Source organism: Homo sapiens, chromosome 4 (genome assembly GCF_000001405.40).
Source record: "Homo sapiens chromosome 4, GRCh38.p14 Primary Assembly".
NCBI classification, from domain to species: Eukaryota; Metazoa; Chordata; class Mammalia; order Primates; family Hominidae; genus Homo; species Homo sapiens.
This window is the reverse complement of record NC_000004.12, coordinates 130,376,029-130,388,542: the sequence shown is the minus strand read 5'-3', so window position 1 is coordinate 130,388,542 and position 12,514 is coordinate 130,376,029. Positions and strand designations below refer to the sequence as shown.

At 37.4% G+C, this 12,514-nt stretch overlaps 1 long non-coding RNA gene across 1 annotated transcript; it reads right to left on the bottom strand.

Annotated features, from left to right (window-relative positions):
- Positions 1–471: 471 nt before the first annotated feature.
- On the bottom strand, positions 472–12,182 carry LINC02479 (long intergenic non-protein coding RNA 2479). Its single transcript, NR_147186.1, has 3 exons — positions 11,984–12,182; positions 2,200–2,470; positions 472–578 (listed from the first exon to the last, which is right to left on the bottom strand). It is a non-coding gene; the product is annotated as a long intergenic non-protein coding RNA 2479 (long non-coding RNA).
- Positions 12,183–12,514: the final 332 nt, after the last annotated feature.

Below are 12,514 nucleotides of genomic sequence, written 5' to 3'. Positions count from 1 at the left end.
CACTACGCAATATATTCATGTATCGCAACTGGACTTGTACCCCTAAATCCATAAAATAAATAATTTTTGAAAATAAAAAATTAAATTAAATTAAATTGTATAAATTTAAACTCATACATCAATTTCTAAGAACAAGTGAACCGACATTTCTGAAAATAAATAAAAATTGTTATTGCTTTTACATTTAGAATATTTTAAAGAGGTATCAAAATATATAAAATGTGAATTATTATTATATCTGTTGGGTGTATACCAACGTAACCTTCAAAGCAGCAAACCCCAGTTTATCTGAAATTTATGGCTTCTCATAAACTAGGGTTTCCTCAGATCAGAAATTTAGATTTTCCTGCCATGTAACAGCATAATATATAAAACCTGTGCAATTGAAAAGGAAATAAAGTATAAAACAATATATATTTTAATAGATGATCTCTTTTACAATATGGATTATACATACCATCTGAGAGAAGTGGGGTTTCTGCTTACTAAGGGCTACTCATATGTATATAGCATCTAGTCTTCTGCTTTTCCAAAAGCAAGTAGCAATGAATAGCTGAAGATTTGTATTCATATTATTTCTGCAAATCAAATAATTAAGTTCTACTTATTCATATTTTTATTTCTCAAAAGAAATATGAAACTAATTTGGAAAATACATTGTGTTTTTTCTGCATCATTCAAAAACAACTCAGAGTAAAATGTTTATTTTTAATATATGAAAATTATTGCATGCTTACTTATGGACACTATGGGCTTTCCAAGTAGGTACCATGTCTTGCTCATCAAATAATTATCACAGTGCCTATCCCAATGCCTGACACGAAGTAGAGACTCAACAAATATTCCAAGAAAAAAAGTGAATTTCAGATATTAGTTTCTAGGATGGTACCTAGTTTTTCTATACACTAATTCTGATTCCTCAGTCTGGTATGGCGATTATATAAATACATATATATGAATTATAGTATAGCCATAAATAAATAATACCACCTTTTCCCTAGGGGAAAGCTCAAAATGATTTTGGTTAAACAAGGATTATGAGCCTTTTTAATTACTTGCAATTAAGAATCAGAACACACCCTTGTCTTATGGCTCTTTTAGAAAAATATTCCCTAGGAATTTCGGTACAGTTTAGGCTGTAATTGTAATTGACAATTACAATTGACAGTTACAAGATAGTAATAAGAGTAAAGCTATTCCCTCTTTAAATTCAACTAAATTATAAGTGGATTCTACTCCAAAATTCATACTGAAAATAATGCAAGTTCAAAATAACTTTCTCCACTAATTTATTATATAGACATTCTGTTACGATTCTAAATAAAAGATAACAAAGCATACAACGATCCCATCTTATTAGAAATATAAATCTAATTTTTCCTAATAAATATTATACTTGGCCAATAGTATTTCTGACCATGGCAGAGTGTGCTTTCTGTAGATAGACACAACGATGCCTTCCAACTCACATAATCATCTCCCTGAACCTGGAAACATGGTGAAAGTGACTCCACAACTCTTCTTGAATTATATTAATGCCACACACATCTATTTTGTTTCTAGGGATGCTCCCACTTGGAATACAGTCACTGTGTTGCAAGCAAACTAAAGTTAGCCCTCATGGAGAGCAGGTGTTTCAGCTGACATCCCAGCAGAGGTTCCAGCTGACATTTAGCATCAACCTTTATTTATATGAGAAAAGTCATCCCTTCCCCCAGCCATAGAATCACCTCTAACCTTCATGTCTTTCCAGCTGAAACCCATACCCTGTGGAAAACAGCTAAGCTCATCCCTGTACTGAACAAGAAGGCCTTAAAATTCCTCTCAACTTGACTAATCTTAGACAGGTTTCTTCCTGACTACAGATCCATGACCTTTCTTTTCTAGAGCATTTACTTACAACAACTTGCAATTATAAACTTTTTCTCTGCCTCTATGAGATGTAAAGCTTCTTCCCTCTTCTCACCAGTTTTACAAGGAATGTCTCCGTCAAAGTTTAAGGAACAATCCCTTTGAAAGGTATATTCATTTAAGGAGATATTGTCCCTAATTTTGAATCTCTGGGGAGGTTAGGAGTCTCACTTCAAGCAAAGATAGATGACATAGTCACTTCGACCAATTTCTTTGCTAATGTCATCTGCTAATGCCTTTGCTAATAGTTTTCCGTTAGCTTATTCCAACATTTTAAAATTCTCCCACCTTTTCTTTCAGTGAAGTTGAATATAATTGCTCTCTTTTATTGAAACAGTCTTGATCCATATTGCAAGAGTCTTGACTGAAGTCTCCTTGTCTTTTTTTTCTTTTTCTAGAGATGGGGTCTTGTTATGTTGCCAAGGCTGGCTTCAAACTCTGGCCTCAAGTGATCTTCCTGCTTCAGCCTCTGGAGTAGCTGGGACTACAGTTTCCTTGCCATTTTTAACAAGTGTCCAGAGCATTTCTTTCTTTTATAGTTCCTGGTTGAACTTTTAACCTACAGAATTCATGTACGTTTCAAATGTTTTTATGTCATTAAGTTTAGGGTTATTATACAAAAACAGTAGTTAGAACACAGTTTATCCTGAAAAAAAATCATTGCAATATATAATTGAAATTATATATAAATAAAAAATATGAGAGAACAGTACTGTTTTAATGCAAGAAGTTAGAAGAAAAAATGGGAAAATTAAGAATTTTAATTGATCCTTTTCTCAAATATACAATGATATACATATATATATGTATATATATATATATTTTTTTTTTTTTTTTTTTTTTTTGAGACCGGAGTCTCACTCTGTCTCCCAGGATGGAGTGCAGTGGCACGATCTTGGCTCACTGCAAGCTCCGCCTCCTGGGTTCACGCCATTCTTCTGCCTCAGCCTCCCGAGTAGCTGGGACTACAGGCGCCTGCCACCATGCCTGGCTAATTTTTTTTTTTTTTTTTTTTGTATTTTTAGTAGAGACGGGATTTCACCGTGTTAGTCAGGATGGTCTCGATCTCCTGACCTCGTGATCCTCCCGCCTCGGCCTCCCAAAGTGCTGGGATTACAGGTGGGAGCCACCTCTCCCAGCCCACAATTATATTTTTTATTAACCTTTGCCATGGAAACCTAGCCCAATTCATGCTGGAATGGAGGAAATTGTTCACCTTCTCTTGACCAACAGTTGGACTGATGACTACTGTCAGACAATGCTCATGATCAAGGTTAGATTCACCATTCATCCTTTGTTGCTACTATTAACCTCAAGTGTTAGTTCATCACTGCTATCTATTGGATTTTACCGTAATCATAATCTTCTTTTGTCAACTGGAAGTTTAAACCTTCTCCACTCTCCTCTTATGTTTTTTTGTTCAACACTCTTTCACTCATCAGTGTAAACAGAAGCCATGAAACCAATTATAGTGTAGACTCATCTATTTTTATTACTTTTGTTTGTTTGTTTTAGTAAATGAGATACCACTCCTTCTGTCTTAGGCCAGTTCCTTCAACTACACCTTAAATTTCAACACCTTCCACATTCTCAGTAGGAACTTCACCATAGAGGCAGGCAATAATAGATGTCAAAATTTTTATAGACATTTTGTTAGTAAATATAAAAATTTTTTTCACTTTCATATTGCTTGACTTCTCAGCAGCATTTGAGAGTGTGTATCTGCAATCCCAAAGCTCAGGCAACGAAAGCAAAAATAAACAAGTGGGACTACATAAAACTAAAAAGCTCCTGCACACATACACACACAAAACAAAAACAAAACAAAATCAACAGAATGAAGAGTGGAGAGAATCTAAGGATTGGGAAAAAAAGAATTGCAAACCATATATTTGATCAGGTGTTAACATCCGAAATACATAATGAATTCACACAACTCCATAGAAAAAAGAACACAAATAACCTAATTAAGAAATGAGGAAAGAACCTGAATAGACATTTTTCCAAAGAAGACATACAAATGGCCAACAGATATATAAGATGGTGCTCAACATCACTAATTAGCAGTGGAATGCAAATCGAAACCACAGTGTGATATTACCTCACACCTGTTAAGATGACAATTATGAAAAAGACAAGAGATCATCATTGTTGGTGAAGCTGTGAAGTAAAGGGAACCCTTGTACATTCTTGATGGTAATATAAATTGGTACAGCAATTCTGGAAAACATGGAGTTTCCTCCAACAATTAAAAATAGAACTACTTTATGATTCAACAATACTTCTGCTAGATATAAAAGAAATGCAAATAGCACCTAGTAAAACAAGCTTTACTCCCATGTTCATTGCAGCATTACTCATAATGTTCAAGATATGAAAACAACCTAAGTGTCCACTGACAGATAAATGGATTGAAAATAATATATTAATATGAATTATATATATATATACTTGTCAGCCTTAAAAATGGAGGAGATACTGCCATTTGTGACAACATTCACGTTGTCACAACATTCATGTTGGTAACCCAGAGGACATTAGGCTAAGAGAAATAAGCCAGATACAGAAAGAAAAATATTGCATGATTTCACTTATACATAGCAAACAGAGAATAGAACAGTGATTACTGGGGAAATCAGGGGAAATAAATAGAATGACGTGAAGTGGGTTAAAGGTTATGAACTTGCAGCTATGTAGAATGAATAGGTCTAGAGCTCTAATGTAGACCATGAGAGTTATAGTTAACAATATTGTATTGAATACTGAAAATTTACTAAGAGAGTAGATTTTTAGGCACTCTTGTTTAAGGGGAAGTAAGTAATTATAAAAGGTGATGGATAGAATAATTTGCTTGAATGTAGTTATCATTTCACTATATGTATTAGTTGGTTTTCAGGCTGCTAATAAAGATATACCTGAGACTGGGTAATTTATCAGGGAAAGAGGTTAAATGGACTCAGTTCCACATGGCTTGGGAGTCCTCACAGTCATGGCAGAAAAGATGAAGGAAGAGCATAGGGACATCTTAAATGGCAGCAGGCAAGAGAAGTTGTGCAGGGGAACTCTCCTTTATAAAACCATCAGATCTTGTGAGACTTTTTTTTTTTTTTTTGAGACGGAGTCTCACTCTGTCCCCAGGCTGGAGTGCAGTGGCGTGGTCTCGGCTCACCGCAAGCTCTGCTTCCAGGGTTCACGCCATTCTCCTTCCTCAGCCTCCCGAGTAGCTGGGACTACAGGTGCCCGCCACCATACCCGGCTAATTTTTTTTTTGTATTTTTAGTACAGACGGGGTTTCACCGTGTTAGCCAGGATGGTCTCGATCTCCTGACCTCATGAGCTGCCTGCCTCAGCCTCCCAAAGTGCTGGGATTACAGGCGTGAGCCAGTGCACCTGGCTGAGACTTATTCACTATCACCAGAATGGCATGGGAAAAACCTGCCCAATCATTCAATTAGCTCCCACTGGGCTGCTAATAAAAACATATTCAAGCTAGGTAATTTATAAAGGAAAGAGGTTTAATGGACTCACAGGTCCACATGGCTGGGGAAGCCTCACAATCATGGCAGAAGATGAAGAAAGAGCAAAAGGACATCTTACATGGTGGCAGGCAACAAAGAGAGTGTGCAGGGGAACTCCCCTTTATAAAACCATCAGGTCTCATGAGACTTATTCCATTTGATGACAATAGCACAGGAAAAACCTGCCCCCATGATTCAGTCACCTCCCACCACAATTACCCTCCCACAACACGTAGGGATTATTACAATTCAAGGTGCAATTTGAGTGGGGGCACAGAGCCAAACCATATCATTCCATTCTTGGCCCTTTCCAAATCTCATGTCCTCACATTTCAAAACCAATCATGCCTTTCCAATAGTCCCCCAAAATCTTAACTGATTCCAGCATTAACCCAAAAGTCCACAGTGCAAAGTCCCATCTGAAACAAGGCAAGTCCTTCTGGCTATGAGCTTGTAAATCAAAAGCAATGGGAGTACAGATATTGGGTAAATAACACCAATTCCAAATGGCAGAAATTGGCCAGAATGAAGGGGCTACAAGCCCCATGCAAGTCCGAAATCCAGCAAGGCACTCAAATCTTAAAGCTCCAAAATGATCTCCTTTGACTGCATGACTCACATCCAGGTCACACTGGTGCCAGAGGTGGGTTCCCATGGTCTTGGCCAGCCATGCTTTTGTGACTTTGCAGGGTACAACCCCCTTCCTGGCTGTTTTTGTAGGCTAGTGTTGAGTGTCTGCAGTTTTTGCAGGTACACGTGCAAGCTGTCACTGGAGTTACCATTCTGGGGTCTGGAGGATGGTGACCCTCTTCTCACAGCTCCATTAGGCAGTGACCAGTGGGACTCTGTGTAGGGGGTCCCACCCCACATTTTCCTTTGTCACTGCCCTAGCAGAGGTTCTCCATGAGGGCCCCACCCCTGCAGCTAACTTCTGACTAAACTTCCAGGCATTTCCATACATGCTCTGAAATCTAGGTGGAGGTTCCCAAACCTCAATACTTGACTTCTGTGTACCTGCAGGCTCAATATACACGAAAGCTGTCAAGGCTTGGTGCTTGCACCCTTGAAGCCATGGCCTAAGCTATACCTTGGCCCCTTTTAGCCATGGCTGGAGCAGCTGAGATGTAGGGCACCAAGTCCCTAGGCAGTATGAGGCAGTGGGGAGCTGGGCCTGGCCAAGAAAACAATGGTTTCATCCTTGGCCTCATGGCCTGTGATGGGAGGAGCTGCCCTGAAGATCTCTGACATCTCTGGAGACATTTTCCCCATTGTCTTGGTGATTAACATTTGGCTTCTTGGTACTTATGCAAATTTCTGCAGCAGGCTTCAATTTCTCTCCAGAAAATGGATTTTTCTTTTCTATAGTATTGTCAGCCTGCAAATCTTCCAAGCTTTCATGCTCTGCTTCCTTTTGAATGCTTTGCTGCTTAGAAATTTCTTCCCCCAAATACCCTAAATCATCTCTGTCAAGTTCAAAGTTCCATAGATCTCTAGGGCAGGGGAAAAATGCAGCCAGTCTCTTTGCATAGCAAGAGTGACCTTTATTCCAGTTCCCAACAAGTTCCTCATCTCCACTGGAGACTACCTCAACCTGGACGTTATTGTCCATACCACTATCTGCCTTTTGGTCAAAGCCATTAGACAAATCTCTAGGAAGTTCCAAACTTTCCCACGTCTTCATGTATTCTGAGCCCTCAGGGTCTCTAGGAAGTTTGAAACTTTCCTGCACTTTTCTGTCTTCCTCTGAGCCCTCCAAACTGTTCCAACCTCTGCCTGTTACCCAGTTCCAAAGTCACTTCCACATTTTAGGGTATTTTTGCAGAAGCACTCCACTCCTGGTACCAAAATCTATGTTATTCAGTGTTCTCTAGAGGTACAGAACTGATAGGATAAATGTATGTATAAAAGGGAGTTTACTACAGAGTATTGACTCACACAATCACAAGATCATGTCCCGCAATAGGTGGTCTGCAAGCTGAGAAGCAGTGAAGCCAGCCTGAGTCCCCAAACCTCAAAGGTAGGGAAGCCAACAGTGCAGTTTTCAGTCTGTGGTCAATGGCCCGAGAGCCTCTGGCAAACCACTGGTGTAGGGCCAAGAGTCTGAAAGCTGAAGAACTTAGAGTCTGATGTTCAAGGGCAGGAAGCATCCAACATGGGAGAAAGATAGAGGCCAAGAAGACTTAGCCAATCTAGTCCTTCCACATTCCTCTGCTTGCTTTTATCCTAGCTACACTGGCAGCTTATTAGATGGTACCCTCTCAGATTGAGGGTGGATCTGCCACTCCTAGTCCACTGACTCAAATGTTAATCTGCTTTGCCAGCACCCTCACAGACACATCCAGGAATAATACTTTGCATCCTTCAATCCAATCAAGTTGACACTCAATATTAACCATCACACTATATAGGTGTGTATACCAAATTGTTGTACACCTAAAATGTGTGTAAAAAGATTAAAAAAAAAATTGAAAATAAAGACACATATGAAAAAAGCACCTATCTGAAAAAAACTGCCATGAATTTCTTGTATCACTCCAATTTCTTAGGCTTTATATTTTTGATTAGTTTCATTCACTCTAGCATTCGTATTTCTCCACTATAGCTTCAGTTACCAATTATATACTTCCATCTCACAAAACTGTATCTTCGTTGAAGATTTGGTTTCAAAATTTCAAAAATATGTAATCAATTGTCTCCTGAATATGTACACTTTAATGTCTTATAGGCAAATGAAAGCAGAAGAGAAGTTTTTAGCACAAGTAAAAGGATTAGAAAATAGAGAAAAAGAAGGAAGAGCATTTAAAAGGATATATATGGTGTGTGACATAGAAGATTTCCAAATGAGAATGAACTGCAGTGCCAGAACAATAATGTAAATGGAATAAGTACAATGCATATTATATCTGGTGAGGGAACAAATTGAAATGGAGGAGCATAAGTATGGAGGTCAAGTTCCTGAGATTATTAGGCAAAGAGGTTGACCCAGGATGTCTGTAGTACTATTAAAAACTGAACAAGGCTAAGAGGTGTGATAAAGGCCTATTTACTCTGGAGTAGAAAAAGTAATAAGAAATTGTTTTAAGCAATATTATTTATTGTATAGCATTTATTAAGTGTTGGACTCTATACTGAAAACTTTGAATATATTAACTCATTTATCCTAGCAAAAGTTTTATTAAGTAGAAACTCTTTTTATCGCAATCTTTCAGATGAAGGGTGTGTGAAGAGTTGTATATCGTGCCCAAGTTCAGGAAGATAAATAAGAAGTAAAGCTAAGATATATTCCCAGCTATACTGACTTGAGTTCATGCTTTATGGCATTTGTCACAGTTTTAAAGCTGGAAAAACAACAACAATAACAACAACAACAAAAACTTCTTTCTTTGAATAAACTTTAGTCAGGTTTCTCTGAGCCCTTCTCCTGACTTGGCCTTAACCTTAGCCCCCATCCTTGCTAAGCATGCATGGCCCAGTTGTAGCAAAAATTCTGCTAAGTCAGTTTAACAAAAATTCCCCACCCTTGATATCTAATCACTCTTTACATATAAGCAAATTCATCATCACTTAACTTTGATAGCTTATCCCCCAGCCTATCTTCAGCAAGAATTCTGTTAAGTATTCTTAGAAATAATTCCCCCACCCTGATGTTTCCTCTGAGTAATTTTTCTCTTGATCCCTTTAATTCTGCTGGTTGACTATATATTTCCACTGTCCTTGCTATACTCAGAGTTGAGGGTGATTTCACTACCCAATTGCAATAGATTTGATGCCTATCACAATAGTGCTAAATAGTCTTCCTCCTCAACAAACTATGCCCTGAAGTAACATACCTCAAAATAATAAAAGCCATCTATGACAAACCCACAGCAAACATCATACCAAAGAGAAAAAAAAGCTGGAAGGATTTCCCTTAAGAACTGGAAGAAGATGAGAATGCCAACTCTCAAGACTCCTATTCAACATAAAACTGCAAGTCTTAGCCAGAGTAATCAGAAAAGAGAAAGAAATAAAAGACATTACATGGGAAAAGAGGAAGTCAGATTATCTCACTTCACTAAGGATATGATTCTATACCTTAGAAAACTCTAAAGACTCTGACAGAAGTCTTTTACAACTAATAAACTATTTAGTAGTTTCAGAATACAAAATCAAGTTACAAAAATCAGTAGCATTTCTATACACCAGTAGCTTTCAAGCTTACAGGCAAATCATGAATGCAATCACATTTAAAATAGCTACAAAAAATACCTAGAAATACATCTAACCAAGGAGGTGAAAACTCTCTACAAGAATTTGTAGAGATGGAAAAACATTCCATGCTTGTGGATCATTAAAATGACCATTTCTCCTACAGCAATCTAGAGATTGAATGCTATTCCTATGAAACTGCTAATGTCATTTATCACAGAAATAGAAAAAACTATTCTAAAATTCATATGTAACCAAAAAAAGCCCAAATAGCCAAAGCCGTCTTAAGCAAAAAGAACAAGCCAGAGGCATCACATTCTTCTATTTCAAACTATACTATAAGGCTACAGTAACAAAAACAGCGTGGTACTAGTACAAAAACAGGCATGTAGACCAATGGAACCAAATAGAAAGCCCATAAATAAGACTGCACACCTATAACTATCTCCAAAGTCAACACAAATAAGAAATGGGGAAATGACTCCCTGTTCAATAAGTGGTGCTGGGACAAATGGCTAGCCATATGCAGAGAATGAAACTAGGCACCTGCCTTTCACCATAAACAAAAAGTAACTCAAGATGGATTAAATGTTTAAGTGTAAGACTTCAAAATATAAAAATCCTAGAAGAAAACCTAGGAAATACCCTTCTCATCATCAGCCTTGGAAAGGAATTTGTGGCTAAGTCTTCAAAAGCAATTGCAACAAAAACAAAAACTGACAAGTGGGACCTAATTGAACTAAAAAGCTTTTGCACAGCTACAAAAACTATCAATGGAGTATATCAACAACCTACAGAATGGGAGAAAATATTCATAAACTATGCATCTGACAGAGGTCTAATGTACAGAATCTATAAGGAACTTAAATCAAGAAGTGTAAAATAAACAACCCCATTTTAAAAATGGGCAAAAAACATGAACAGACACTTATCAAAAGAGGATGTAAAGGTAGCCAACCCAGATATAAAAAAATACTCATCATCATCAGCAGTCATCCAAGAAATGCAAATCAAAATCACAACAAGATACCAACTCTTACCAGTCAGAAGGGATATTAATAAATGATCAAAAAATAATATGCCAGCAAAGCTGTGGAGAAAGAGGATGCTTATATAATGTTGGTGGAAATGTAAATTAGTTTAGCCACTGTGGAAAGTAATTTGGAGATTTCTCAAAGAACTTAACACAGAACTACAATTTGATCAAGGAATCCCATTACTGGTTATATGTCCAAAAGAAAACCACTCATTCTACCAAAAAGACACACACACTCACACATTAATTGCAGTACTATTCACAATAACAAAGACATGGAGTCAACCTAGGTGCTCATCAATGGCTAACTGGATACAGAAAATGTGGTACATATACACCATGGAATACTATGCAGCCATAAGAAATAATGACATTATGTCCTTTACAGTTACATCAATGCAGCTGGAGACTGTTAGCCTAAGTGACTTAACACAGGAACAGAAAAGCAAATACAGCATGTTCTCACTTTTAAGTGGAAGCTAAACACTGAGTACACATAGACATAAACATGGGAGCAATAGACACTGGGGACTGCTGGAAGGGGGAGGGAGGAAAGGGTGAGGGGCTGCCTACTGGGTTCTGTGCTCATTGCCTGGATGATGGGATCATCCATACCCCAAACCTAACCATCATGCAGTGCTCCCATTTGACAGACTTGCACATATACTCCCCCGAATCTAAAATATAAGCTGAAGTGATCTTTTAAAAGAAATAAATAGGTGAACATACTAATAACTTTAAAGCAGTTCATATACATTGGCAAATTTTGTTGTGTTTCACCAGAGAGAACATAAATGTTTAACATTAAAGATATGTTTGTGGGAATCATGTATTATCCACAAGATGGACTATTATAAGTCATCTTTAAGTTCTTAACATATGAAAAATGTCTATGATATTATGTTGTTAATAAAAAGGACATAAATAGGTCAAAATGTCAGTGGTGACCATGTAATGGTAATTGAATAATGGGTGATTTCTACTTTTATATGTTTTACATGTACATATATTTTTGCAGTGAGCATGTTTAACTTTCAAAATATGAAATATAATGATGAATGTTTTTTAAAGTTAAGCAATAATAATGAAGTCTTCCTTTTTCCTTTAATAAGTATCAGAATAAATTTTCTTTAACAGTTATGAATTCATGATTTGAATAGGATCATATTAATCATTGGACCTCTGGATCTCTTGGCCTGGATCCCAAATGTTCATTGGTGAAATCTTTGTCTTCACTCCTGACTGACTGATAAGGGATTTATTGGTGATCTGACTCCTGATCCAGTGCTCCAAATGATAATCCATTGAAGTATAGTAAGGGTATACTTACTTTGATTCACATGGTTGCTGAACCCCCACTGCCTATACGCTCTACCAATTCTGCTGGCTTCTTCTCTTGTTGGAATGATTATATTAAGGGTAATATATCCTAGCCTGTTCAGTCTGCTTTAACAAAATACTAAACATCGATTATATTGTAAACCAAGGAAATGTATTTCTCACAGTTCTGGAGATTGGAAAGTCCAAAATCAAGTTACTGGAAGATTCAATGCCTGGTGAGGGACCATTCCTCACAGATAGTACTTTTGAACTGTATTCTCATATGAAAGAAGTGGCAAAAAAGCTATCTCATGCCTCTTTTATAAGCACCTGTCCCATTCAGGGGCATCACACTCATGATCTATTGACCTCCCCAAGTTCTGTCTCTTAATGTCGTCACCTTGGTGATTAGAATATCCGTGTACAAATTTGGGTGGAACAAACACATTCAGGCTATAGCAACTTCAAACTTCAGTGGCTCCCAGGCTCTTCTAAAACTTCTCTCTTCTCATAGCTCTCACTCCTCCTTCCTCATTTACCA